We start from the raw sequence: 27,858 nt of genomic DNA, 5'->3' as shown, positions 1-27,858 counted from the left end.
GCTGCCTCAGGTTTGAGGAGTTGAAAAGAGGTGGATGAAACTGCAGGGTCACAGGTGCCAGTGGGAAGTGACACCCTGTCAACAGGAGGGGCTGAAATTACCCCAATTTGTGGGCTCCCTTCCCAACAGGAAACAAGTTCAGAACTGGCCGGGCACGGTGGCTCACTCCTGTAATTCCAGCACTGTGGAAGGCCAAGGCGGGTAAACCACATCAGGAGTTTGAGATCAGGCTGGCCAACATGGTGAAACTCTGTCTCTACTAAAAGTACAAAAAATTAGCTGGGCGTGGTGGCACATGCGTCGTCCTAGCTACTCAGGAGGCTGAGGCAGGAGCATCGCTTGAACCCGGGAGGCGGAGGTTGCAGTGAGCCAAGATTGCGCCACTGTACTCCAACCCGAGTGATAGTGCGAGACTCCATCTCAAAATGAAAAAACGGGCAGAACTGACCATTCTCAATACAAGTTTCCCAATGTGTCTAACTCCAAGGAAAAGTCACAGGGTTCTCACCAGGGAAAATGACCAGCATCTTTCACAGAAAACAACGCAACAGAAGAGACTGTGGCATGACTAGTGCATCGCTGGACACAGGGTGGCCGAGTGTGCGTGACGACCGGACGGGACAGCGCCCTGCAGAGGTCTGGCTTGGCAAGCAGGCCCTTGCCACTGGGGAGGGAGGCAGGCACCAAGTTCAAGGTCTCTATCTACATTCAAAGAGAGGAGAAAGACCGGTTTTTCATACAAGTTTGCTTTTATTTCCATGTTCAACCTGCGGAGAAAACCGGCCACAACCTGCACGGTGGGGGTACAAGGCATGGCGGCGCCCTCCCGGTGGGTCTCCGGGACACGTCCAGCACTGCCCGCAATGGGGATGCAAGTCCTTCAACGGAAATGCTGCTCGGCTGTGTACAGGCACCGTGGAAACATCACTGGGCGCAGGAGAAGGTGCCGCCAGTGGCGTCGCTAAGTCTTCGGAGCCAACGCCGGCGGTTCCAACAGAAAACTCCAAACAAGAAAGAAGTGGAAGCGGGTGCCTTAAATCCCCCACTGCAGACACCAGGGGCTGAAAGGCACAAAAATGTGTCGCAATGGCAGAATCCAGGCGCAGTCACAGTCCAGAGCCAGAGAGCACAGGGAGGAGGCGGGAGTCACGCGGCTTCCTGCAGGACGGCCTCGGCTCCACAGCACACACGGCTGCGCTGCAACAGAGGAACCGCGGCTCACACTCGGGAGTCCTGTAGCTCAGCGCGGGAACAGCAGGCGGAGTCCGTCCCCTGGATAGACAGGCATGGCGGCCCTAAACGGCACCACCTCAAAAGGCTGAGGGACCCCCTGAACATCGCCTTGGGGCTGACGTTGAGTCCCGCAAGAGGAGCCACCCCGGCCACAGAGAGCTGAGCCCGTGTGCCACCCCTACTCGCTCATGGTCCCACCCTGGGGGGACAGCAACCAGGCCACCCTCAGGCACCCCATTAGGCCTTCTGTCCCACATGTGCCCATGCTGTGAGGCGCGGAGGCCCCCAGGACTCAGGAGCTCCCGCACTCTGCTCCCCAGCCCCCGACTTGGAAGGCTCTTGTCTCAGAACTGCTGAAACCACAGTCACAGCCGTGCACGCCAGTGTTTCTTTCCAGTGGACACACCGCGGCCGTCACTAGCACAGGTATCAGGAAATGGCCAGGCATGGCCACCCTCCTCTTCCTGGCACTTCCCAACACCTGGCCACAGCTCCTCCCTCACCCAGCACTGCCTGAAAGGCGCCATCTGCAATGTGGTCAGAGGGCGCAGTCGAGGCCACGTCGGCACCGACTCTACATTTCACACGAGGCTCAGCTAACCCTGGGCACATGACACTAGGGCTTCACCCTTCACCCCTGCCTTAAAGGAGGTGCTTCCTCAGTGACGGGGATAACTGAAGCAGCATGAGCAGCCAACAGGACCCCCATCGCGCCCCCTGCAGACGCTCACCACAGTGCTCCAGGTCACTCCTGATTCCCGAGGGGAATGATTTCTTCAGTGACGAAGAACTCAATGGTCTCCTCTTCCCAGTCGTCCACGTTGCTGTCCAGCTCGTCAGTGTCCACCCCTGAGGGGACAAAGGGCGCAGATCACCCATGGGGGCACATGCCTAGTGGCACCGCCGAGGCCAGTGGGAAGGAACGCAGGAGTCCGCGGGCACCAGGGCCCAGGGGCAGCGTAAGGGCCAGCTCCTGGGGACTGAGGGATCTCTAAGTTACCTCCTCGCAACTCCAGGCGCTCGTTTTTCTGCTCCATATAGAGCTCCTGGGCCATTTTCCGGTACTTCCGGAAATCTTCCATCATGGTGCGCCTTCTCTCCACCAATTCCTATGCATGAGGTTGGGGAAAGCACAGAACTGGTAAGACAAGTGCCTCCCCATCGCGAAGAGCCCACACCCAGGCGGACGGTGCCAGAAGGACAGCATACAGAGGCACTCAAGCAGGAATGGCTAGTCCATTCATTCTCACTTTTCCCCCAACGCTGCCCCCCACCCACAAGGCAGCAGTGAGGTCACCAACTCCAAGTCCCCGTGCCAACCCCAGTTCCCCAGTGCATCCCTCCTGGGGGGGAACAGAACCAGTGTCTTCGGAGCAGAGGCAACTCTGAGCACATACACAGCAGCTCCCCGCAGCCCCGCCTTTGCCATGATGGCGGATGTCACAGCACAGCCCTCATTTTGGGAATGAGGCTCACCTTTGAGGCTTTGGACTGACTCAAACGATCCTTCTGTTCAAAGATCTTAGAGTATTTCTTCAGATCCTTTTTAATTTGCTGAAACAAAAGACCCATCACTCAGGATTTAACATTCAAAGCAACAAGCACAAATGCAATCTTCAGAGTTGCCAACATGACATGACACCCAAAGCCATTCACAGAACACAGCTTCCCAGGAGCGCTCGCATGCTCCTTTCTCCATGACACCCAGGGTCATTCACACAACACAGCTTCCCAGCAGCACTCGCGCCTGCTCCTTCCTCCATGACACCCAGGGTCATTCACACAACACAGCTTCCCAGGAGCGCTCGCGCCTGCTCCTTCCTCCATGACACCCAGGGTCATTCACACAACACAGCATCCCAGGAGCGCTCGCCTGTTCCTTCCTCCATGACACCAAGGGTCATTCACACAACACAGCATCCCAGGAACGCTCGCCTGTTCCTTCCTCCATGACACCGAGGGTCATTCACACAACACAGCATCCCAGCAGTGCTCGCGCCTTCTCCTTCCTCGACACCCAGGGTCATTCACACAACACGGCTTCCCAGGAGCGCTCGCGCCTGCTCCTTCCTCCTTGACACCCAGGGTCATTCACAGAACACGGATTCCCAGGAGAGCTCGCGCCTGCTCCTTCCTCCATGACACCCAGGGTCATTCACAGAACACAGCATCCCAGGAGCGCTCGTGCCTGCTCCTTCCTCCATGACACCCAGGGTCATTCACAGAACACAGCATCCCAGGAGAGCTCGCGCCTGCTCCTTCCTCCATGACACCCAGGGTCATTCACAGAACACGGCATCCCAGCAGTGCTCGCGCCTTCTCCTTCCTCGACACCCAGGGTCATTCACACAACACGGCTTCCCAGGAGCGCTCGCGCCTGCTCCTTCCTCCTTGACACCCAGGGTCATTCACAGAACACGGATTCCCAGGAGAGCTCGCGCCTGCTCCTTCCTCCATGACACCCAGGGTCATTCACAGAACACAGCATCCCAGGAGCGCTCGCGCCTGCTCCTTCCTCCATGACACCCAGGGTCATTCACAGAACACAGCATCCCAGGAGCGCTCGCGCCTGCTCCTTCCTCCTTGACACCCAGGGTCATTCACAGAACACGGATTCCCAGGAGAGCTCGCGCCTGCTCCTTCCTCCATGACACCCAGGGTCATTCACAGAACACAGCATCCCAGGAGCGCTCGTGCCTGCTCCTTCCTCCTTGACACCCAGGGTCATTCACACAACACAGCATCCCAGGAGCGCTCGTGCCTGCTCCTTCCTCCATCTTTCACTTTGAGACGGACTTTCTCCCTGGGATTTAACCCTCCTCTTTGCTCTGACCTAAGACCAACGGCCTATTTTACCACAATAATGTAAATCCCAGACAAGCCGCTTCTAATCCCAGCAGGACTTTTTAATGGCCCTGGCATCTTTTTATCCACCCCTCGGGTTCATGCAAAACTTCCCTAAAGAAGCTGAAAGCCTCAAGTTACTATCCTAAAGCTGTTCTATTCCATTCAGTTCTCACTGTTCCTGCGTCTCTTCAAAGAATCCTTGCAAATGTCACGTTTTTATCCCCCAGTCACCACCCTAACAATAACAGAAAAAACTGACACCTTTTCAACGCCACAATTGCCTCCATGTGCCCTGCACCCGGGGGTGGGGGCATGCTGACCTTGATCTGTTCCTGGCTCAGGAGTGTGGGAGGCCGGGGCCGCCACAGCAGCTGGCAGAAGCGGTCCTTGTTGTTCTTCTGCAGGAGGCGTCCCTGGAAAGTCCACAGCCAGTACGCGTTGTCCACCTAGGCCAGGGCAGGGACACACCAGGACACAGAGGGGTCAGAGAGCCACAACCGTGACTATGTCACTTGCTGAACAAGGTCCTGGGTATCGGGGACACGTGTGAAGCAAACAAAGCTCTGCCTGTGCTGAGCTGACAGCAGGGTAGGTGGGCAGTCAATGCAAGACACCTCCATTATGCAACCGACCCGGAGTGCGGGGCACGGAGCAGCTGGAGCAGCGCTCATCACAGCACAGGCCTGCACATTCTGGCTGGCAATAAGAACCCCATGCTGGATGTAAGCTAACTGCCTCACTACTGCGCCGCTGAACCCCGTGCTGGATTTAAACTGGACTGAACCCTGTGCCAAACGTAAGCTAACTGCATAGCACTACTCACTGCTGAGCCCTGGGCCGGGTGTGAGCTGTGCGGAGCCCTGTGCTGGATGTAAGCTAACTGCATCACTACACGCCGCCTAGTTCCGCTCTCCTCATGGCAGGCCTCTCTCATGAAGGAGGGCGCCTTCACTGGCACTCAGCATAAACTCCTTGTTGCAGGCCGGCATTTTGGAAGCTAAGTGTTCATAACTCAAGGAGAGTGGTCAACAGCTTAAAAAGTCTTTTTTTTTTTTTTTTTTTTAATGGGGCTAGGGTTTCGCTATGTTGCTCAGGCTAGTCTCAAACTCCTGGGTTCAAGTGATTTTTCTACCTCTGCCTCCTGAAGTGCTGGGATTACAGGTGTGAGCCACTGTGCCTGGCCTAAAGTGATTTCAAGTGTCAAGGCAGGCCCCACCGCAGTGACATCTGAACATACCTGGACACAGGCTGTGATCAACATATCCTGATTCGAATGCGAAGATTTCTAACTCTAGACACTTGCAGTAACATTTGGGAAGTTGATATTCCTACAAATTCTGTATCTCATTAAACAAAATTACCCGCGTTTGGTTTCACAGGCTCTATTGGCATGGACTAGTTCAAGTATCAGTGCCTCCATCAATGTTTTTACAAGTCACTAAATACTGAAAGTCCTTGACAAACTTAACCAGCAGTTTTGGAATACGAGTTGTGGGTAACGCGGCAGCTGGACTCAACCACTGACCCCAAAACAGATCTTAATGTCTGCGGTTATGGAACTCTGTTCAGACTTCAAAGGAAACGACTCCTCTCTGCAGACATTCTCACTCCTTTTCAGGGGTCCCTGGGCCCAGGGTAAGACCCCCCACCTCCCCGCAACCATGAGCAGGGGCTGCTCCTGCACTCGGCGCCACCTCTTCTACAACCCAGAATCCTCCTCCTCCTGCCACTAACACCAGCCAAGGCTTCTGTTCAACACAGAGGCTTGGTGCCCCTTCCCTGAGGTCCCAGGACAGCACCAGAGTCAGCAGCTAGCCAGCACTCCCTGCTTCTATCCACAGTCAAAACTATGCCCCACAGGCCTGCACCTTATGGCTCCACCAGGACACAGAGGTGACGACGTAGCGCCCAGTAGGATCCCATTCGACGTCGGAAGCCATGTAGTGCTCTGCGATGTTCATGACCGTGCAGTCCGAAGTGTCCACAAACGCTAAGGCACCGTTCATACTGCAAAGACAGACAGGACCGTCAGGCTTCATGGAGACGCATACCTCCTGGCATCCCACTCCTGAGAGGTGCTGCGGCATGGGGTCCCCAGGGAGCCAGCCTCGGCGTTAACATGGAAACAAGCACAGCAACAGCCTCTGGTGGCCGCTGTGAGACTTACCAAATCACAGATGCAGAGTGTGCAGTGAGTATTACATATGACTGCCATCATATTATTTTTACTGGAAATGTTATCTGAGGCTAAGTAAGCCTCCAAAAATACAGTAGCAAGTGTGGACAATGAAGCAAGGGAGAGCAGCAACAAAAGGGTATTCTTTTAACTCAGAGCAGAAAGCTGGAAGCTTCTCCATGATTTCGACACACTGCTGGAACACAGCTGAGACCGACACCGTGACACCAACCACAAAGGTAAGGCAGCCTCACAGCTGTGTAACGAATACCCTTCCCACTAGAAGACAAGGGACTGACCCCCGGGGGGAGGTTACTGGATGGCTGGAAGGCACTTGTTTAACCACAGAGAACCACAACCCGCAGACAGGTCTGCCTGGTCACTTCACGAAAGCATCTGGGAGCGCTTATTTCACTCTGTGCGGGCTTGGCCTGAGTCCTGGAGTACCGTGGGTCTGCAGAGGTTCAATGAAGTCCTATCCACTGACACTGGGGCAACCCTTTCAGCGCACAATACTCTCTCTACCAAGAAGCCGGGTGCAGGCGCCTGAGGGGTCTCTGCCACAGCAGAGCGCTACTCACAGGGCGGACAGGCTCAGAGCGCAGACACCTACCTCCTCAGGCCCGCCAACACCACGAACTGTCCTTGGGGGCTCCAGAAGATGGTGTTCGCCTGCTGCTTGTCGAACATCTCTGAAAGGAAAGAGCGCGCCTGTCACGAGCTGCGAGGGCTTCCACAGTGCCGGGGCAGCCAAGGCTGGAGGACTTGGCCGTGCTCATGCTGCCCATGAGGGCAGAGCTGGTAATGCTGGACCACCTCGGAAAACAATTTTACAAAGTCCATCGCCAAGTACCCCCTAAGTCATGATCCATACTTTAAATGGGAAAAAAAAGAAGATGCGACAGGGGTATTTCAAAACAATACTATCTTATTTCCTGAGGTAACTGGACAAAGAATTCCCTTTACAGCAAATGTTCACTGCTGCAGGGACCCCAACAGAGAGATGTCAGAGACGTGTGACCCCAAAAGACCAAAGCCACTCTCCTAGCGACAAGGCGTCTTTGGATAAGCTGTATGCTTGTTGAAACTGACTACAGTCATCATCTTTGCAGGTACTAACTCTTACTTCCGGAATGGATCTCGGGCAGAGCCGCTGGAACAGTGAGAAGTGAAGGCCAGCTGGGGCTGGCTCAAGTCCCCCTCAGAGCATATGCTCCCTGCATCTCAAACAGAGCTGACAACCTGTGGCCTCTCTCCCCTCAGCCTGTGGTACATCCAAAAAAGAGGCATGGGGCAGGCTGACGTGGGGAGGAGGGGAGGAGATGTGGGAGGGCAGTGCACCCTGGCAGGGGCAGGGGTCTCAGACTTGCACAAGCGAAAACCCCAACAGCCACGGGCATGGGATGGAGCCCATGCGGTGGCCCCAGCGTCCATGCCAAACCTCAGGAGAGGCGTGTCACGCAGCATGTTTGGAAGGTACAAGGTGCCTCTGCTTGCCTATGTTTTATGACCTAGAAGACTTACACAAGTCTCTGGACAGTCTGCAATTGCCCATATGTTTCTATCAACCAGAATTAATGAAACAGCCAATCTTGTAATCCACTGCCAACTGAGGGCACCACGCACCCTGCCAAGCTCTAGCAAAGTGAAAACTAAACTCCTCACAGAATCATGCTGCGAAAGGTGCGGCCAGGAGATTCCAACCCCTTCCTGGTACAGAGCCAAACCCATGGCTCTGCAGGAGGGCAGCTGGCAGCCAGAGTCCTGTGTGAGGAACACAGCCCATCGCCACCTCCTGGCTACCACACACACACACCCCACGCCTATGAAGCAACAAGCAATGGCTCATTCAATCCCCGCGGGCACCGGGCTCTGTGCTGAGCAGAGACCCCAGGATGAAGTGAGGAGCTGAGGGCACAGGCAGCAGGTGCCGTGAGACAGGCGAGGGCCCACGCACCACTGTGAGGAGCGAGCCCCAGGTGGGTGCAGTGTGGCACCCCTGGAACCGGGTGCACGGGGGCAGAGTACAGCTGTGTGCAACAGCTCTGCGCACCCTGGTCAAAGGCACCTGACCCAGACTGGGGACTGGCAGGAGTATGTCCACAGGAAGTGACCCCAAGCCCAGGGACAGCAGCTACAGCCAGAAGAGAAAAAGCTTCACTTGAGATGATGGCAGAGAATGGAAGCCTTGGAAATACTCGCTTAAACGTGAGGGCTCAACGGGGCTCAGAGAGACACCCTGCAAGGAGGCGGCACCTCCAGGCCATCGCTCACTTCCATCAGCCGAGGCCACACCCCATTCATAGGCGAGTCCCGGCCTGCCCAGCAGTGGTCCTAGGCCAGTCAAATGCTCACTGTTGGGCAGCGACTGGGTCATCATCTGTGCTGACCTACTCAGAAGAGGAAAGGGACCAGGTTACTTACTGATGAGTTCAATCTTCCCGTTGTTTTTGACGTGGTAGAAAGACACAGATATCCGCGGAGCCTCTCCGTGCAGCACAGCAAACTTACTTCCATTTGGTTCCCAGGCAAAGGCTATGATGGTTTCTAAAATGCACAAAACAGACCCCTCCCTTTTTGGTCAATTCAGAACATAGTGCTCTTGATCAGTTAAAATGTTCACTATTCAACCACAGAGAAATATCCCCCGACGTGTAAAAGTTCATTAAAAGGACGGGAGAGCAAGCAACAGCAGGAAAGGTGCACATTCCTGGAGTTTCAGAGACAGCTGCTTCCACTTGTGTGGAGTGACCTACGTGAAACTGCTCCCTTCCTGAGAGCAGGACACCCACAGCAGGACCGCAGGAGCCCGACATTGTCAGCAGCTGTGGATGCCGCTTCCCTCGCACCCAGTGTGCACCTACAGTGGGATCCTGACCTCCGGTCTCCCTGCCTGGAAGGGCGGCCATGTTTCCCATTTTCTCACCTATTTTTAACCCTTCCTTCCTCCTTTTCTCCATGGCAAAACAAAAAGCCAAACAAGAACACAGGCTCAATCTCTTTTCTCTTTTTTTTAGACAGGGTCTTGCTCCGTCACCCAGGCTGGAGTGCAGGGGCGCAATCTCAGTTCACTGCAACCTCTGCTCCTGGGCTCAAGTGATCCTCCCGCTTCAGCGTCTCAAACAGCTGGGACTATCGGTGCGCACCACCACACCTGGCTAATTTTTTTTATTTGTTTTTTGTACAGAGAGGGTCTCACTATGTTGCCCAGGCTCTAAACACGTTCTGTGACCTGGAGATGACTATTCATGGTGAGGGCTCACAGTCCTGACTCAGCTGCTCAGACAACCCCTCGCATGGAAGTGTTAAAGCCAAGAGTAAAACAGCACGTAGGCCCCATTCGCCTCAAAGTGACTAAAATACAACTTGCCTTTCATCTCGACCACATCCACAGGTACCTGTTTCTCCCTCATTCGGAAAATTTCAAAATTTGTGACAACACCCTGTTTAAAAAAAAGGGGGAAGGGGTGACATTCTGGACAGTGAAAATATGAGAAAAGGTTTAAATCAAAGATCAACGTCACAATGAAAGATTCAGTGTGCATGCCTGGTTCACACACGAGCATGTGCAGTGATGAAAGCCACAGCCCTCAGGATGGAAGACGGTTCTAAGGCTGGAGAACTGCCGGCACCACGTCTACTGGAAGCCACTGGACATGCATGAAGTAACTCTGACCCAGATCCCACCTCCAGGAGCCGCCCTGCCCGCCACACTTGGGCACAAGCAGTCCCAGGGTCCACACTGCAGGCTGCAGGCCAGGGTCCTGAGGGCCCTAAAGGCACACCAATGGGGCTGGGTAAACCACTTCAGACAGTGGGGTGTCCTGTAGCCATAACCTTCAAGAAGTCCTGCCCTACTCGAGGAGTCTGAGGGAAAACTGCCCTGATGTCCATCAACAGAGGAAGGAGGCCAAGAAACGGGGTCCACCCAACAAGAGATTACTGCTGACACTCAGCACCGTGGACCAGCTGTGGGAACGCTGTGCTCCGTGAAGGAGGTCAAACACAGAAGGTGGCATAGTATCCGATTCCAGCTGTGTGTTCAGAATAGGGAAATCATAGACATTCGTGATGCCAGGAGCTGGGCGGAGAGGCTGCTAACAGGTATGTTGTTTCTTTGTAGGGTGACAAAAACATTTATTTATTTATTTATTTTTGAGACGGAGTCTCACTCTGTTGCCCAGGCTGGAGTGCAGTGGTGCAATCTCGGCTCACTGCAAGCTCCGCCTCCCGGGTTCACGCCATTCTCCTGCCTCAGCCTCCCGAGTAGCTGGGACTACAGGCACCCGCCACCACGCCTGGCTAATTTTTTGCATTTTTAGTAGAGACGGGGTTTCTACTAAACCCTCGATCTCCTGACCTTGTGATGCCCCGCCTCAGCCTCCCAAAGTGCTGGGATTACAGGCGTGAGCCACCGTGCCCGGCCTTTTTCCTATCTTTTAAAAATTATCTGTGGAGATGGGGTCTCACTGTGTTTCCCAGGCTGGTCTGAAACTCCTAGCCTCAAGCTATCCTCCCTCCCACCCCGGGGGAGCCACCGCACCCAGCCGATGAAAACGTTCTGAAATGAGTGGTGGTGGCTGCATAACTCTGAACACACGAAAAACCACTGAACCAGTTCACCACTCTAAAGGGGTGTTTTCAGGCATGTGAACTACATGTCAATTAAAGCTTTCTTAACATAAAAGAAAGAAGAATACTTCTATTAGAGGGAAAACTCAGGAATTTCTTTTTTTTTGTGAGACGCAGTCTGGCTCTGTCGCCAGGCTGGGGTGCAGTGGCGCAATCTCGCTCTGTTCACTGCAAGCTCTGCCTCCTGGGTTCAAGCGATTCTCCTGCCTCAGCCTCCCGAGTAGCTGGGACTACAGGAGCCTCCCACCACGCCCAGCTAATTATTGTACTTTTAGTAGAGATGGGGTTTCACACCACGTTGGCCAGAATGGTCTCAATCTCTTGACCTCATGATCCGCCCACCTCGGCCTCCCAAAGTGCTGGGATTACAGGCATGGGCCACTACACCCAGCCAACTCAGGCAATTTTTTGATAAAATAAATATTAAATGATCAACCACCAAAAATAAAAAAATAAAAAAATAAATCTTGAGTATACTACTCCTTGTGCTTAGAAAGAAAATAATATTCTCAGCCAGGCACGGTGGCTCACGCCTGTAATCCCAGCCCTTTGGGTGGCCAAGGCGGGCAGATCACCTAAGGTCAGGAGTTCAAGACCAGCCTGGCCAACATGGTGAAACCCTGTCTCTAATAAAAATACAAAAATTAGCCAAGCGTGGTGGTGGACGCCTATAGTCCCAGCTACTTGGGAAGCTGAGGCAGAAGAATCATTTGAAACCAGGAGGCAGAGACTGCAGTGAGCCGAAATCGCACTCCTGCACTACAGCCTGGTGACAGAGTGAGACTCCATCTCAAAAAAAAAAAAAAAAAAAAAAAAAAAAAATCCATTAACACCCTCCAAACAATACGGTGGCCACTTCAGAGCTCAGGATAAGGAATCGTCAGTTCCTGTGGGAATCTACATACCTGGGTGCCTTTCGGAGTCCTATCTACTTTCACACACAAGTAGTCTCCGTTCTTCTGCCAATGGAGCTTGCAGTCCACCACATTGAACAGGTTCCTCACTCGGATCTCTTGCCTGGTAGGGAGCTGCATCAGGGTTACCCTGGCTGGAATATCTTTGTCTTCAGGCACCCAGAAGGCGATTATGTTACCACCAGGAGACCAAGAAAAGTCTCTGCAGAACAGGAAAATAAAATGTTAAAGCAAAGACCAAGTGATGACGAAACTGAAAAGCAGAAGAGAATAGAACAACTCATTTGCTATATAGAAGCTCAATGCTGTCACAGCTGACGCTGAGCGCTCCCTCTGCACAGCCACTGCTCTGGGCATGCCGCGCAGCTTCATAGGTCCTCGCCAGGACCCTGTGGCACTACTGTGCTCACTGTGACAAGGAGTGAATGCAGACAGAATATTAGCAACCCCACCATCACGCACAGACTCATATGGACTCCAGCCTGGGCTCCGTCAGCCCACTCTTAAGACACCGCACACTGCTGCTTTGAGGCAAATAAGTTTTAGGCTGACGGATCTGGCTACATGTCATCTAAAGATTAATTAAGGTGCAAATGGGGAAAATGGCAAATCAAGTGTAAGGAATGAGCAAGAACAAGGGCAGCTCCCTCCACTTTATCAACTACTCTACAGAAGAGCTGCTGTAACGAACGGCTCCTGAGCTCACCTACATGAAAAACATCTTTATACACGCTATGTGCTGTTTTGCATTTTTTGAGAACCAACGTCCTGGTCTTTTCATTTTATAAGCCATAATTTTGCCCAAGAATGTAAAAACGAAAGAAGAAACGTCAATGTCCTTGGATTGTTGGAAGTTCACTGCCGTGATACTGACCAGTCCCAAGTTTTGCGATAAATAAAAACGTGCCCATTCTTTGCTGGTGAAAATGAGCCGAAGGCTCCCCAAACCCTGCCTCGGATGGAAGAGTACCAGGAAAACCTTTCACCTAAGCAGAGTCCCCTCTTTTCCTTAAAAGGCTGGAAACCCCACCCTCCTCAGTTTCTAGATCAAAGACGAGGTAGATGGAAGGAAGCCGACTCAAGGCTCTGGCCTTGAAAATTCATTTCTAGGCACGGGAAGGGGTCACTGAAGTGGTGCCTCAAGGGTGGCGGGCCCAATGCTGAGCAGCCTTGCTGCCCACTGACTCAAGCCTCCATCCTTGTGTCCAGAACAAACTCACCTTAGGCCGGGCGCGGTGGCTCACACCTGTAATCCCTGCACTTTGAGAGGCTGAGGCGGGCAGGCGGATCACTTGAGGTCAGGAGTTCGAGACCAGCCTGGCCAACATGGTGAAACCCCGACTCTTCTAAAATATACAAAAAATTAGCTGGGCGTAGTGGTTGCGCGCCTGTAATTCCAGCTACTCAGGAGACTGAAGCACCAGAATCGTTTGAACCTGGGAGGTGAAGGCTGCAGTCAGCCGAGATCACGCCACTGTACTCCAGCCTGGGCAACAGAGTAAGACTCTGTCTCAAAAAAGATTTAAAAATGGCTGGGTGTGGTGGCTCACGCCAGTAATCCCAGCACTTTGGGAGGCTGAGGTGGGCAGATCACTTGAGGTCAGGAGTTCTGAGACCAGCATGGCCAACACAGTGAAACCCCATCTCTACTAAAAATACAAAAATTAGCTAGGCATGGTGGCAGGCACCTGCAGTCCCAGCTACTTGGGAGTCTAAGGCAAGGAGAATCACTTGAACCCAGGAGGTGGAAATTGCAGTGAGCCAAGATCTCGCCACTCTACACCAGCCTGCAAGACAGAGTAAGACTCTGCCTCAAAAAAAAAAAAAAAAAAAAAAAAAAAAAAAAAATTTTAAAAAAAGAACAAACTCACCGTTTTCTCTCCAACTGGTTAAGAACTGAGTGACAGGCTGGGCATGGTGGCTCACGCCTGTAATCTCAGCACTTTGGGAGGCTGAGGCGGGCAGATCACAAGGTCAGGAGTTTGAGACCAGCCCAGCCAACATGGTGAAACCCCATCCCTACTAAAAATACAAAAATTAGCCGGGCTTGGTGGCACATGCCTGTAGTCCCAGCTACTCGGGAGGTTGAGGCAGAAGAATCACTTGAACCCAGGAGGTGGAGGTTGCAGCGAGCCAAGATCGTATCACTGCACTCCAGCCTGACGGAGCGAGACTCTGTCTCTAACAACAACAACAAAAAGCTGAGTGCTAAAGGAGAGACAGCAAATAAAGGAAACCAACTGCAATGGACCACGTCTGTGTCCCCCAGATTCACAGGGTGAAATTCTAACCCCCTGGGGTGACGGCATGGGGTGGGGCCTTTTGGGGGGTGGGAGGTCCTGAGGGGGAAGCCCTTGGGAATGAGATGAGAGACTTTACAGAACAGGCCACGGAGGCCTTCCTCCAGGGAAGGCTGGACCGAGGGGCTGTCCACTAGGAGGGAGGTGGGCCGTCACCAGACAGTCTGCAGGCACCCTGACCTCAAGCTCCCAAGCTCCAGAACTGGGAGAAAGAAATCTCAGCTGTCATAAGCCACCCAGCCTATGGTATTGTGTTTTTTTTTTTTTTTTTGGTATTGTGTTAAGCAGCCTGAACACACTAAGACACCAAACTGATAAGAATACTCACTTTATCCCAGAGATCTTCAAACTCTTCTTGTCCAAAAGACCCATAGACTGCCCAAAAAAAAGGAAGGCTGCAGTTGAGTCAAATCATGTCAGTGTCTCAGAAACACACCTAACTTTTTACAAAAGGAAACAAGAGTCTGATGTGAGTTTGCCTAGGGGGCAGTGCACACAGAGCGTGACAGTGAACCCATCCACCCACCCGCCACCCAGAACTGCAGTTCTGAAGCCCACTGCATTAACTCCCATCCAGGACTTCCCACGGCTGCGCCAGGTGGGCAGGAGTGACTGAAGAGCTCTGCCCAGAGCAGGGGCAGTTAAAAAGGCACAGGAGACAGGCCTTTCCTATGCATCTGTGAAACCTCCTCCTCCTCTTCTAGCACAAATAAGGAAAGGCACCACACCCCGGTTACAAGCAAGGACCGGACGGGGCGTTTGCCATCACTGAGGCCACTTACAGGAGTTTCATAGATGCTAAGCGTATCCAGGGTCATTCTGGCAAAGAATTTGCCATCATGGCTCCACCTAAGAAAAACAAAAGTGCCAGGGTATTCCCATGAAAAGACAAAGGCTACAGAGCTCGTTACAATGGTCCACTTACTTAAAAATAGGCCAATGGGCTGAGCTCTCACAGTGAAAACCCCTCTTCTTGTGCCCCGTAAGGATGTCCCAGATGATTATGGCCTGAGGGTCATCCTGCGTGTCCATCAGGGGGCTAAAGGTCACCAGGTACCTAGAAGAGAAGGGCAACACTGTACACTATCCTCCTCTCACGAGAGGATCACAGTCTGTCTGTGCGGCCAGAACACGCCGTCAGAACTCGCGGAACCAGCTCTCTCCCCAAACCCCACACTGCCCGGCCCCAAGAGACCCAAGCGGAAGCGGGAAGCAGCGGCGCTTGTTCATTCTGGTGTCAATACGCTGCAGGCGCTCCGGTTTCTCCAAGATCAGCACAGAAGATCTCACCGATCCCACACAAGGCTGCTAAGTGATCCAGAGGGTGGCGCAGTGTGGAACTCTATCTTTACCCATGTTTAATAAAGACTAACAAGTTAAAAAAATACGGCTGGGCGCAGTGGCTCACACCTGTAATCCCAGCACTTTGGGAGGCCGAGGTGGGTGGATCACCCAAGGTCCGGAGTTTAAGACAAGCTTGGCCAACCATGGCCGACATGGTGAGACCCTGTCTCTACTAAAAATACAAAAATTAGCCGGGCGTGGTGGCAGGCACTTGTAATCCCAGCTACTCAGGAGGCTGAGGCAGGAGAATAGCTTGAACCCGGGAGGTGGAGGTTGCAGTGAACTGGTATCGTGCCACTACATTCCAGTCTGGGCGACGCATGAAACTCAGTTTCAAAAAAAAAAAAAACAAAACAAACAAACAAACAAACAAACAAAAAAACAAGTCCCATCCAGTTCGAAAGCCAGCACAGGTCTGATAGAAACTTCAGAGCCTGGGGGCTCCTCCCAGCCATGATTTACCTGACTGCTGGCTTGTCTGGAGCTACTGCACCTGCTTACTCAGTTCACACAAAGTGTGTAACAGACGGTCCCTTACAACACCAGAGGGGAAGGCAGACACAACCCATGAGGGCGAAAACAGAGCGGCCCCAGCTCGCCTCGCACTGCCTTCCACAACTGCCCCTTTCCCTAGAGTGGCCCCCGTTCGCCTCACACTGCCTTCCACAACTGTCCCTTTCCCTAGAGTGGCCCCAGCTCGCCTCACACTGCCTCCCACAACCGCCCCTTTCCCTAGCAGGCCTCCGACAGCCGGATTAGCTAGATCAAAAATCACGGCTCGGCCAGGTGCGGTGGCTCACGCCTGTAATCCCAGCACTCTGGGAGGTCAAGGCAGGAGATCACTTGAGCCCAGGGGTTCAAGACTACCTTGTACAACAAAGTGAGACCCCCATCTCTACAAAAAATAAAATTAGCCATATGTCATGGCGTGTGCCTGCGGTCCCCGCTACTCAGGAAGGCTGAGGTGGGAGAACCGCTTGACCTGGGAGGCTGGGGTTGCAATGAGCCTGCAATGGTGCCACTGGGTGGCGCCAAGCCTGGGTGATAGAGGAAGGACAATTTATTATCTGTAAAATACGTGACCTTAGACTAGATCCTGAACTGAAGGAAAGTAAGTATTATACAGAACATTATTAGGTCAAGTAACAAAATCAGAATATGGCAATACATTGAAGTATTAAATGAATGGTAAATCCCTGAAGTCAGTACCCACACTATGGTCACACTAACAAAATCCTATTTCTAGGAATACACATTCAGGGCTAAAGGGACATGTTATTTCAACTCACTCCCAAATGGCTCAGGAAAAAATATCTGTATAGGAGATGATGACGTAAATGCAACCAAATGTGAGAAGATCTCAGTAAAAAGCTTATTAGCGTTCTGCATACTCCCGTATTTTTCTACTAAGTTTGAAATGCTACAAAATGAAAGATCACCTGTAGAAGGCTGGCATGGGGTGAAATGCATAGACTCCCCTGTGTTTTTCTAGCAGCTTACCTTTCACAAGGTGAGAAGTCAATAAGCTGAACCCCTTGGTGGCTGAATCTCTGAATTTGCTTGAATTTCTCTCCCCCCCATAGAGCAATGCCTCTTTGATGAAAGGTAGCCAGGTAGGTGCCCTTAGGAGACCAACGCACATACGTCTCTGTCCATCTCTGCAGAAAAAGGCAGTGCCAACGTTAATACAACAAAATGGCAAACACAAAGACCCCTCCTACAATGAATTTATCCTACAATGAATCTGTTCTACAAACTTTTTTTTTTTTTGAGACGGAGTCTCGCTGTCTCCCAGGCTGGAGTGCAGTGGCGCAATCTCAGCTCACTGCAAGCTCCACCTCCCAGGTTCATGCCATTCTCCTGCCTCAGCCTCCCGAGTAGCGGGGACTACAGGTGCCTGCCACCATGCCCAGCTAATTTTTTTGTATTTTTAGTAGAGACGGGGTTTCACCGTGTTAGCCAGGATGGTCTCAATCTCCTGACCTCGTGATCCACCCACCTTGGCCTCCCAAAGTGCTGGGATTACAGGCGTGAGCCACCGCGCCCGGCCTATTCTGCAAACTCTTAAGTGAAATACACAAAGCCTGTTCACTTCTCAGGATTTACTTCAAAGCTGGAAGAGGAATAAAAGAAGTTGTTTTCAGAAAGTAATCTCAAAGAAAATATAACGTCACCTGCTCTTCCAGTTTTCTGATAGAAACAAAGTTCCACTTTGTTAAGGAAATACAGGAGAGGTGAGTCCCCGCCCCCAGCAGCAGCAAATACACACCGCTCTTTCTTCAATTGAGACAGGGTCTTTTACGTCATTCCAGAATATGGAAGTGCGGTCTCCACTCTCAAAAATCACACTGTACTGATCTCTGCATTCTGCCTCTTCAAGCCAGTAACGTAAGTTCCCCTTAAAAACAAAGACAAGGAATATAACATTTCATTAATTTTAATAAAAAACTCATTCACAACTATTGCTCTTAAAGATATGACAAGTTCAGTCCACATCTTAACTCCCAAGTCACACCCTAACCTCAAGTCAAGACACCGTCTAGCATTTCTTTTTTTTTTGAGACAGAGTCACGCTGTTGCCCAGGCTGGAGTCCAGTGGCACAATCATAGCTCACGGCAGCCTCAACCTCCCAGGCTCAACCTCCCAGGCTCAAGTGATCCTCCCCCCTCAGCCTCCCAGGTAGCTGGGAATACAGGTGCATGCCAGGCCCAGCTAATGTATGTATTTATTTACTTTTTGTAGAGGCGGGGGTCTCACTTTGTTGCCCAGGCTGGTCTTGAATTCCTGGGCTTAAGCGATCCTCCCACCTCAGCCTCCCTAAGTGCTGGGATTGCAGGTGTGACCCACCACACCCAGCAGCATTTCTTTAAACCACTGAGATGTAGGTTTCAGGCCACTCACCAGGTCTTTGAAAGGCTGTTTCTCTGGAATATCCCACTCGTCACTGATCGTCATATACCTGGAGAAGAAAGGAGACTGCTGAGCCCCACGCCCTGACGACTAGAAAGAGCAACTCGTGGGGGCTCCAGCATGGCCCTGCTGTGCTCCTGCCTGCCCGCCCCCAGGGCTGTGACTGGCATAACAGGGAGGGGTGCTGTAGGCCAGAAGTGTGGGGCAGGGCTGTGAAATGGCTCTGCGGCAGCCTGACCAGAAAGGATGTGAACAATCTGACAGACACCAGCACCGAGAAGCACCAAGCCACCCGCACACAGCCAGTCACTTGCACGTCAACGTCCACTTCCTTGTGGCCAAGTCTGAACTCACTTGTCAAAATCCGTAAAGAGGTTGACCCGGAATGTGTGCTGCTTGTCAAGCTTGTAGCCGTCGGCGTTCTTCACAGCATCCACAGCGTGGGCAGGGGACGCGTACTCCAGGAAAATATACCTGAGTGAGAGAGGGCCGTTGGCACATACCCACACTGTAAGGCTAGGCAGGTATGCGCTGTCCGCCCCACCCCTCTCCACGGACAAGCCCTCGGTGCCAGGAGTATCTGTGCTGCTCTTCCTGCCTCGAGCCTAAGGCAGTCACACGGGGGACAGATCCACAGCCAGGGAGCTCCTAAGTGACAGGGAAATCCTAACCAGAAGATCCGAAGTCTCTAGTTTCATTATCATAATTATAGAAAAGTTAATCAAAACGTCCATTATTTTGACTGTGGCGATGGTTTCGTGATATGTACACATCAAAATGTATTAAATTGTACGCTTTAAAACTATGCAGATTTACTGTATATCAATTATCTCAATAAAGCTGTTTAAAAAAAAATCTTGGCTGGGCGCAATGGTTCACACCTGTAATCCCAGCACTTTGGGAGGCCAAGGTGGGCAGATCACTTGAGGTCAGGAGTTCGAGACCAGCCCGGCCAACATGGTGAAACCCTGTCTCTGCTAAATATACAAAAATTAGCCGGGCATGGTGGCACATGCTTATAATCCCAGCTACTCAGGAGGCTAAGGCAGGAGAATTGCTTGAGCCTGGGAGGCGGAGGTTGCAGTGAGCCAAGATCGTGCCACTGCACTCCAGCCTGGGTGACAGAGCAAGACTCTGTCTCAATAAATAAATAAATAAATAAATAAGCAAGCAAGCAAGCCAGGCGTGGTAGTGTGCGCCTGTAATCCCGGCTACTTGGGAGGGTGGGGCAGGAGAATTGCTTGAACCCGGGAGGCGGAGGTTGCAGTGAGCTGAGATCACACCACTGCACTCCAGCCTGGGCAAGAGTGAGACTGTCTCAAACAAACAAACAAACAAAAAAAACTTAAAAGTAGTCTAATATTGTGTATTACAGGCAAGATTAGAAAGAAGCTCAGAGAGGCCGGGCGCGGTGGCTCAGGCCTGTAATCCCAGCACTTTGGGAGGCCGAGGCGGGTGGATCACAAGGTCAGGAGATCGAGACCATTCTGGCTAACATGGTGAAACCCCGTCTCTACTAAAAATACAAAAAATTAGCCGGGCGTGGTAGCGGGCGCCAGTAGTCCCAGCTACTAGGGAGGCTGAGGCGGGAGAATAGTGTGAACCTGGGAGGCGGAGCTTTCAGTGAGCCGAGATTGCGACACTGCACTCCAGCCTGGGCGACAGAGCGAGACTCCGACTCAAAAAAAAGAAAGAAAGAAAGAACCTCAGAGAATGTTTCATTATAACACGAGTAACTGAGGGTCAAGAGGCCATCCTTCAACTGACTGCCCAACACAGAAAATGCAGCAGCATTACCTGTATTTGATAATTCTAGAAACTAAAACTATTCTAGTTAGTTTTTACTTTATTTATTTATTTTAGAGACAGAGTCTTGCTCTGTCACCCAGACTGGAGTACAGCTACGTTATCATAGCTCACTGCAGCCTCCAACTCCTGGCCTCAGGCTTCAAGAGTGTTGGGAGTTTATGCATAAGCCACCATGCTGGCCTATTCTAGATAATTTTAAAAACTTTAAAACCTTAACTTAAAAAAACAAACTTTATCATCTTCTCATTCACTGCTCTGGATAGCTTCCAGCTGAGGGCGGCCTGAAGAAGTGAACGGCCCACGTGCCTGGGCAAGGCAGGAGCTGTGTTAGTAAGGATCTCCTGCAACACTCCCTCATCATGACGTGCCAGACACAGATGATACTTCTCCAACAGGAGAACACTCACCCTTTTGTCTTCCCATCCTCTTCAGGATAAAAATCATTTGTGATTTTCCCAAACTTGGAAAAGATCTTGTGGATGACATTTTTGAGTTTCTCAAGTCGGTCGGGTCCCACCTGAGGGACATTGTCCACTACAATCACCGAATCGATTCCATCTGCTTCCTGGGGCCGATCTTTGAGTACATCTCCCAGTAATTCTGAACAAGAGAGATTTTTCAAATGATCATTTTTACCAAGAAAAACATTAATACATTAACTGAGCACACTAAACAAGTCTTCAAGAAGAGACAATGAATTGTCTAAATGCTTTCACTGTGAGCAAAAGAAATCCTAACCCTAGCTTGTTTCAGATTTTAAACATGACAGCTGGGGGGACTGGAACTCTCCTCTCTCCCTTTGATGGAAATGTAAACAGTCAAGACAGGTCAATTAAGTTCTGGTAATAACCAAAGACTACAGGAGAATAACAGTGAAAAGCTTTTAACAATGCACAATGCAAATGAAGAAGACCATCTCAAGAATATCCACTATTAGATCTTCCAGAGATGCCTAGATTTTGAAAGGTTTGTTGCAACATCTAGGCAGGCAGAATCCCATCCCAATGTCAATGAAAACTGACTTTTTACAGAAGATTTTAGCAAACAAGTAAATATTTAAATGCTCAATATATTCACAGCACATTTGTGCTGTGAATACAAATTACCAGAAATTATTCAAGGAGGAACCCTCTCTCGAGTGAACTGGGATGAAAGTAGTAACTCTTCTCCCACCTCCTGTTCCCAGTGATTTTCATGTTTTCAGGCCGTGAACTGGATGGCCATTCACAGGGGATGGGGAAAAAACCCAAAGAGGAAGCGCGTCTGGGGTGAGCTTCCCCACCTCTCTCCGCTGCAGAGCCCACCACCACGCACCTTCGTTCAGAACAATCTTTACCCAATATTCCTTAGGTTAAAAAGCTCTAAGGATAAACAACTGAACTGCAGGAGACAGGGATGTGACAGTGTCTTTCCTACTCACGTAACACTCAACACAACGCCTGACACCGGACGTGGGTGTCGCATCAAGCAGTTCTCCAGGGGCCACCAGCTGGGTGTCCTCTAACTTAATCCAATTCAGACACTATCTACCAGGAATTAGCATCAGATCCCACAGGCTGAAGGCTCAGCCCCAAAGACTGGCCCCCATTTCAGATGGCAGTCGCAAGTAGTGGGCTGTCACCTCCGGTTCTGACCGACAGGCTACAAAGCAGGGCTCCCACTATCCCTCGCTTCTTGGGTTCCATTAATTTACTGCAGCAGCTTACAGAATTCAGAGAGCTAGGTTTGCCAGCTTATTATAACGGACGTTACAGAGGATATAGACGAAAAGGCAGATGGAGGAGAAGCGCAGAGCCTCCCTGTGCTCTCCAGGCCACCACCCTGCAGAAGCCTCCACCTGTTCCGCTGCATGGAGCCCCTGAACCTGGTCCTTTTGGGTTTCTATGAAGATCTCATTATAGAGGCGTGATTAATGACATCACTGAGCACCGGTGATCAACTCAACTTTCAGCCCTCTTCCTTCTGGGTGGCAGGGGGAGACCTAAAAGGTCCCACCCTCTAATCACGTGGTTGGTTCCCTGGCAAGGAGCCCCAGCCATCAATCAAGTCCTCGTCTACAAAAAGACACTTACCACTTTGGAAATTACAAGGGTTTAGACGCTGAGTGCCAAGAGCCAGGCAGAGCCCAAATACACATTTCTTAATTATATCACAAAGAGCCTTTTTGAAAAACACTATCAGGGCAGAGACCGGCACTTAAACTAGGAGACTGGAGAATATACAAGCTCCTGAAACAACTTTTTTTTTTCTTTGTAAAGAGACAGGGTCTTGTTATGCTGCCCAGGCTAGCCTGGAACTCCTGGGCTCTAGCAATCCTCCTGCCTCAGCCTCCCAAGTAGCAGGGACTACAGGTGGGAGCTGCCACCCCCACTGAGATTAAATAACAGTATTTTTTTCTTAGTGGTAGGTGAAGCTGTTCTTGATGTGATGAAATGCCTCGCAGGGCTGCTGGAAAGCATCACGTGTCAGAATTTAGAACACGGCCAGGCTCAGTGGCTCACGCCTGTAATCCCAGCATTTTGGGAGGCCGAGGCAGGCAGATTACCTGAGGCCAGGAGTTCAAGACCAGCCTGGCCAACATGGTGAAACCTGTCCCTAATAAAAATACGAGAAAAATGATCCAAGCATGGTGGTGGGTGCCTGTAATTCCAGCTACTGGAGAGGCTGGGGCAGGAGAATCGCTTGAACCCAGGAGATGGAGGTTGCAGTGAGCCAAGATCATGCCACTGCACTCCAGCCTGGGAGACAGAGTGAGACTCCATCTCAAATAATAATAATAATGATAATTCCAACATACTAAATATGCAGATGTCCGAAAATATTCTTTACTGTATTTATTCTCAAAAGTTGGCTGGGCATGGTGGCTCACTCCAGCGACAGAGCAAGACTCCGTCTCAAAAAAACACTTTCGGAAATATTGAAAACTGACCCAGCATGGTGGCTCACGCCTGTAATCCCAGCATTTTTGGAAGCCAAGGAAGGCAAATCACATGAGGCCAGGAGTTCGAGACCAGCCTGGCCAACAAGGCAAAACCCCATCTGTATTAAAAATACAAAAAGTAGCCAGGCATGGTGGCACATGCTTATAATCCCAGCTACTTGGGAGGCTGAGGCAGGAAAATCGCTTGAAGCGGGGAGGCAGAGGCTGCGGTGAGCCATTGCACTCCAGTCTGAGCAAGAGAATGAGACTCTGTCTCAAAAAAAAAAAGGAAATATTGAAAATACTGCCTTAAAAAATAATCGCCGTTTTATTTTCAACGATGCTAAAATTGAGACGAACAAGAGAAAAAAAAAGGGAAAAAGGCAGTTGCCAGTCACTGCAGTGCCGGACACCCTGCTATGGAAACTAGTCAAATCCTAGGGTAACTTCTAAAGCACTTACCATACAATTAAATAGCCTGACAAGCCTGATCTGAATTTATAAGGCTGCAATAAAAAGCTCAACTTTTACACAAATTGGGTACTCCTTCCCACAAGCTCAAAGCGTCTAGTCTAGGAGAAACTGCCCACACGTAGGAAGGAAATAAATGAAGTAACTACACCATGAAGACACAACGCCTTGATCACTCTCAGCCCAAGCATCGGTTACACGTGGCTCATGGATTCCCAAGCGGTCTCCAGGAAAAACAGAAGAGAACAATTCTCAACACTAAATAGCAAATAGAAAGAGAAAGAATAGTTAATGAGCCAAAAAAGACATTTAGAGTTAAAATCCTGGATCAGCTGAAACATTAAACTGAAAGGATGATTACAGTTTGAGAAGCTAATCTGTACCAAAAAAGTAATAAAGCAAGACAGGGACTCCAGGCCACCTCTGGCCTGCTCCTTGGAAGACTTGGCCCTTCTGGAAAGAACTGATACAGTCACCTACGGTCTTGCACAATGACCCTGAAGGGCAGCTCTTCTCATAAAGCACAAAACCTGCGTTACCACAACCAGGAGGGCCATGACAAAGTCGGCTTCCTGAGCCTTAGTCCTCAGGACCAGATGCCTCACCTGTCACTCTGGCCAACACTGCACCTTCAGGGCCACGTGGGCCCGCTGAGGACCCACAGCCGTCACCCAGCCTGGCCAACCCTGTCGTCATATTAGCATCCTCTGACTCTTCCCAATTCCAGAAGTAATCTACGTATTAGAAATCTGTGAATTCGATGGGCTCAAATAATGCTTTTTAAAAAAGTAGCAGAATATCCAAGGGCTCAAAATAATCATTAAACCAAAAGTTTTGATTTTTAAACCATAATAACAATTGAAGCGTTAGAAAGAACACTGTTCTGAGCAGGAGAGTCTGGTGGGCCAAGCAGTATAGACCCACTGGGAATTCTCAGCAGCCTACTCCACCTTCAGGGACAAGTTTCCTCAGGACTGAGGGGCGTAGACTAGATGTTCCCAAAGTCTTTAGTTTGTGGTGTCCTTCCTGCTTTTCATGCTAAAATGTCTTTTATGAAAAAAAAAAGTGTAATATAGTAATGGTCACAGTAACTGACAGCGTTTTTATTTTTTAATTTTTCACTTTTTGAGACAGGGTCTCACTCTGTCGCCCAGGCAGTGGTGGGATCTAGGCTCACTGCAACCTCCACCTCCTGGGTTAAAGTGATTCTCGTGCCTCAGCCTCCCAAGTACCTGAGACTACAGGTGTGCACCAGCACACCTGGCTGACTTGTATTTCTGATAACCTTTTTTTCTTTTTCTTTTTTTTTTTTTTTTGAGACGGAGTCTTGCTCTGTCGCCCAGGATGGAGTGCAGTGGCAGGATCTCGGCTCACTGCAAGCTCCGCCTCCCAGGTTCACACCATTCTCCTGCCTCAGCCTCCAGAGTAGCTGGGAAATCCAGGTGCCCGCCACCACGCCCGGCTAATTTTTTTTTATTTTTAGTAGAGACGGGGTTTCACCGTGTTAGCCAGGATGGTGACCTCGTGATCCACCCGTCTCGGCCTCCCAAAGTGCTGGGATTACAGGCGTGAGCCACCCAGCCCGGCCCTCTGATAGCCTTTTAAAAATACGTTTAAATCATAAATTGGCAACTCCATGTTATTCCCGAAATTGTCCTGGTGTATCGCTGGCTACATCAGCAAGGGTATTTTTATTTTTCTCACTCTAGTATCAACTTAGCCAATCTGCAGAGGCTGATGTGTTCCCAACTTAAAGGCTTAAGAGAGCTAAAAAACAAAAGAAAAACAAATGAGACCAGCTCTCATCAGAAGTAGCTTCAGGAAAAAATCTCTGAGACAGGAAGCAAAAATATGCCTGTAAATCCAATCAAGGTTGAGATGAAGGCAAAGCTGGCTGTTATCGGCAATATTAAAACCTGGAAAAATAACTCTCTTTATAGATTTAGCGCAAGAGATAAAGAAAAATCAAACTGGAATTTCACAGGGTGCCTGTCCCACTAAGGAAGTCTCTGGAGATGGACAATTCTGAGGGGCAGGAGGACAAAATCACCGGCTCTGCCACAAGCTGTTCCTCCGATCCAGACCTTGGGAGGTCTGACTGGTCAGCTCTGGGGACACGTAGACCCGCAAACCTGCCACCGGGTCTTCGGTTTTTGCCGTACCCCCAGCTGCTACACTCACAGCACACCCAGCCATAACGGAGTACCCCATGTGCCCTCTCCCACCCTCTCAGATTTCTGGTTGTCATGCAAATGCCTGGCTCCCGAAGTGAGCTCCACCCTGTCCCCTTTTTCAGGAAAGAAAAGGGGAGGCGCTGGGCTCTCAGAACACTTCCAGGGCACTCGGGAACCCCTCCCTCGGTGGCTTCTCAGGAACACACGGACACCCTCGCTGGAACTTCTGCACGAACCGGTGGCACAGCCCGACGATATCTCCCACCTCGGGAACCCCAGCCACGCTCCCGCGCCGCTCGCCAGCCCCGCCCCGGGCGCCCTCACCTTCCTCGCTCACGTCGTCCACGAAGTCCTCGGGGTCGCTGAAGGAGGGCTCGTCCGCGTCGCCGTTCTCCAGCGCCCGGGGTTCGGCCTCGGCCGCTCTGCCCTCGTTTCCTCCCGCGTCCTCGGACACCGCCTGGGCCCGGCTGTCGGAGCGCTCGTCCCGAGCCTGCTCTCCTGGGGCCTCGCCCTGTGCCGGGACAGGGGGCTCAGCATGCGACCCGGGCAGCTCCTCGGCGGCCGGCGGCGAGGGCGACTCGGACGGGCCGGAGGCCGCCTCTGCCTCGGCCGCCGGCTCGGTCCTCACCTCGGACTCCGGCCCGGCCTCCGCGATCCCCACCTCCTCACTGGAGGCCTCGGTCCCCGCGGCCTCCGGAGCGCCGGGCCCCGCGGGCCGCAGCAGCCCCTCGGCTGGCGGCGGCTCGGCGGCCGGCTGCTGCTGGCCGGGCTCGGCGCGCTCCTCGGCCGCCTCGGGCACCGCCACGTTCTCCGCGTCCTGCATGGGCCCAACGCTGCCTACTCGCAGGGCTCCGCGGCCGCCGCGCTTCCGACTCTCCCAGGCCGCACCGCGCGCCGCGACGGCTACAGCCCAGCCATGTGCGTGCGACGGGGAGGCCGCACCAAGGCCGCGGGGCGGGGGGCGCACCCACGCCCTGGGGCCTCACGAACGACCCTGAGAGGACTCGCATCCACAAGACCGCGCCCGAAAATCATCAAACTGATATATTTGTGACAAGAAAGTGCTTAATTCCATTCAGCAAGGTTGTTTCTGTGCATCAGTAAACTCATGGGAGCATTGACCACCCCATGTGTGGCAGCAGATGGTTCCGTCCAACATGGCGTCCTCCCCCTTTCCTTTCCCGTCGGACGCTGCGGGGCGGGACTGAACTATTTGTGGAGCTGAAGGCGGGGACAAGAAATGATTTTAGTACCCGGAATGCTAGGAAAATGTCCTCTAACTCAACAGTTAATACCCTGGAAGAGTGGAGACTCAACAGGCGATTGCTCAGGGCGTCTGAGCCTTTCGCTAGGGAAACCGTTTAGTTTACGTTACTAAAGTCCCCCCTGTCCGTGTCTGTCACTTGGACTCGCCTACTGACTGAGCAAAAGGACAGACTACTTCAAAATAGAAAAGGAATTCGGGGCGAGCCAGAGAGGGCCCACACGACTAGAAGGACGACTGCCTGGCGCGATACAAAAATGTATGGAAGTTTCTTTAATCGCTTACCCCCAGTCCTTCCCTAGCGGCCGTCACTGCCTGTTTCCCCCCATTCGGGCTTTCACAGTGGTTCAGTCCATCCGAGGCCGCCGCCTTCAGCGCGGGACAGCGCGGGTCACGTGGGGGCGGGGGCGGGTCCTCGCCGCGTGGAGCTCGAGGCTGACTCCGGAGGGACCGGAGCGGTTCGCTCTGCGCGGGTGCTCACGGGACGGGCATTGGGTGCATGTGGCTTCTATCTTGTTTTTTGCCGGAGTGGAGGACAACCACTGGTTGGGGGATGTCTTAATCATCCTAGAAAACAACCCAGTGGATCACGCCTGTTATCCCAGCACTTTGGGAGGCTGAGGTGGGAAGATCGCTTGAGCTTAGGAGTTGGAGACCAGCCTTGCCAACATAGCACCACCACCCCCCGCACGCCAGCCCTCATCTCTACGAAAATTAAATAAATAAATAAAACAGGTGGTACCCAGAGGCTGGGGTGGAGAGTGGGGAGTGTTTATCGGGGACGGACCTTCAATTTGGGAGGATGAGAACGTTTTGGAGATGACGGTGGTGATGGTACAACATGGTGAATGTACTTGATGCCA

At 51.7% G+C, this 27,858-nt stretch overlaps 2 protein-coding genes across 10 annotated transcripts in view, besides 7 other annotated features; one reads left to right on the top strand and one right to left on the bottom strand.

Moving 5' to 3' along the window:
* Positions 1 to 730: 730 nt before the first annotated feature.
* On the bottom strand, positions 731 to 27,390 carry EIF3B (eukaryotic translation initiation factor 3 subunit B). 9 transcript variants are annotated; one of them, XM_047421000.1, is made up of 21 exons: positions 27,281 to 27,390; positions 26,360 to 26,952; positions 26,056 to 26,242; positions 20,574 to 20,766; positions 18,712 to 18,831; positions 18,349 to 18,406; positions 17,716 to 17,844; positions 16,947 to 17,104; positions 15,028 to 15,159; positions 14,885 to 14,951; positions 14,431 to 14,477; positions 11,794 to 12,004; positions 9,627 to 9,699; positions 8,681 to 8,803; positions 6,870 to 6,948; positions 5,949 to 6,087; positions 4,401 to 4,526; positions 2,710 to 2,787; positions 2,234 to 2,342; positions 1,965 to 2,082; positions 731 to 1,295 (listed from the first exon to the last, which is right to left on the bottom strand). In XM_047421000.1, the coding sequence occupies exons 2-20, from the start codon at positions 26,552 to 26,554 to the stop codon at positions 1,979 to 1,981; spliced, it is 2,328 nt and encodes a 775-aa protein (XP_047276956.1). In that variant the 5' UTR covers positions 26,555 to 26,952; positions 27,281 to 27,390; the 3' UTR covers positions 731 to 1,295; positions 1,965 to 1,978. The 9 variants fall into 9 exon arrangements, with proteins under 9 accessions (XP_047276956.1, XP_011513901.1, XP_047276957.1 ...); XM_011515599.2 differs by having other exon boundaries at positions 26,056 to 26,952; XM_047421001.1 differs by lacking the exon at positions 26,360 to 26,952.
* Positions 1,628 to 2,128: an enhancer, noted in NCBI's record as "H3K4me1 hESC enhancer chr7:2418983-2419483 (GRCh37/hg19 assembly coordinates)". NCBI's record gives its function as "activates a minimal SCP1, AML or CMV promoter by ChIP-STARR-seq in naive H9 embryonic stem cells {active_cell/tissue: H9 hESC(naive)}" and the evidence as "EXISTENCE:reporter gene assay evidence [ECO:0000049][PMID:30033119]".
* Positions 4,217 to 4,716: an enhancer, noted in NCBI's record as "H3K4me1 hESC enhancer chr7:2416395-2416894 (GRCh37/hg19 assembly coordinates)". NCBI's record gives its function as "activates a minimal SCP1, AML or CMV promoter by ChIP-STARR-seq in naive H9 embryonic stem cells {active_cell/tissue: H9 hESC(naive)}" and the evidence as "EXISTENCE:reporter gene assay evidence [ECO:0000049][PMID:30033119]".
* Positions 26,193 to 26,302: a silencer, noted in NCBI's record as "silent region_17869". NCBI's record gives its function as "represses an Ori minimal core promoter by ATAC-STARR-seq in GM12878 lymphoblastoid cells {active_cell/tissue: GM12878}" and the evidence as "EXISTENCE:reporter gene assay evidence [ECO:0000049][PMID:35858748]".
* Positions 26,353 to 26,442: a silencer, noted in NCBI's record as "silent region_17868". NCBI's record gives its function as "represses an Ori minimal core promoter by ATAC-STARR-seq in GM12878 lymphoblastoid cells {active_cell/tissue: GM12878}" and the evidence as "EXISTENCE:reporter gene assay evidence [ECO:0000049][PMID:35858748]".
* Positions 26,623 to 26,762: a silencer, noted in NCBI's record as "silent region_17867". NCBI's record gives its function as "represses an Ori minimal core promoter by ATAC-STARR-seq in GM12878 lymphoblastoid cells {active_cell/tissue: GM12878}" and the evidence as "EXISTENCE:reporter gene assay evidence [ECO:0000049][PMID:35858748]".
* SNX8 (sorting nexin 8) overlaps positions 26,979 to 27,858 on the top strand; it is a 102,728-nt gene continuing 101,848 nt past the window's right edge. Inside the window, exon 1 of the mRNA XM_017012084.3 lies at positions 26,979 to 27,254. The gene's annotated coding sequence lies outside the window, so the exon portion shown is untranslated. The remainder of the gene's footprint in view (positions 27,255 to 27,858) is intronic.
* Positions 27,303 to 27,858: an enhancer, noted in NCBI's record as "NANOG-H3K27ac-H3K4me1 hESC enhancer chr7:2393253-2393808 (GRCh37/hg19 assembly coordinates)". NCBI's record gives its function as "activates a minimal SCP1, AML or CMV promoter by ChIP-STARR-seq in naive H9 embryonic stem cells {active_cell/tissue: H9 hESC(naive)}" and the evidence as "EXISTENCE:reporter gene assay evidence [ECO:0000049][PMID:30033119]".
* Positions 27,563 to 27,632: an enhancer, noted in NCBI's record as "active region_25527". NCBI's record gives its function as "activates an Ori minimal core promoter by ATAC-STARR-seq in GM12878 lymphoblastoid cells {active_cell/tissue: GM12878}" and the evidence as "EXISTENCE:reporter gene assay evidence [ECO:0000049][PMID:35858748]".

Source organism: Homo sapiens, chromosome 7 (assembly GCF_000001405.40).
Source record: "Homo sapiens chromosome 7, GRCh38.p14 Primary Assembly".
NCBI classification, from domain to species: Eukaryota; Metazoa; Chordata; class Mammalia; order Primates; family Hominidae; genus Homo; species Homo sapiens.
The sequence above is the reverse complement of the archived record's forward strand: the minus strand, read 5'-3'. Positions and strand labels throughout refer to the sequence as shown.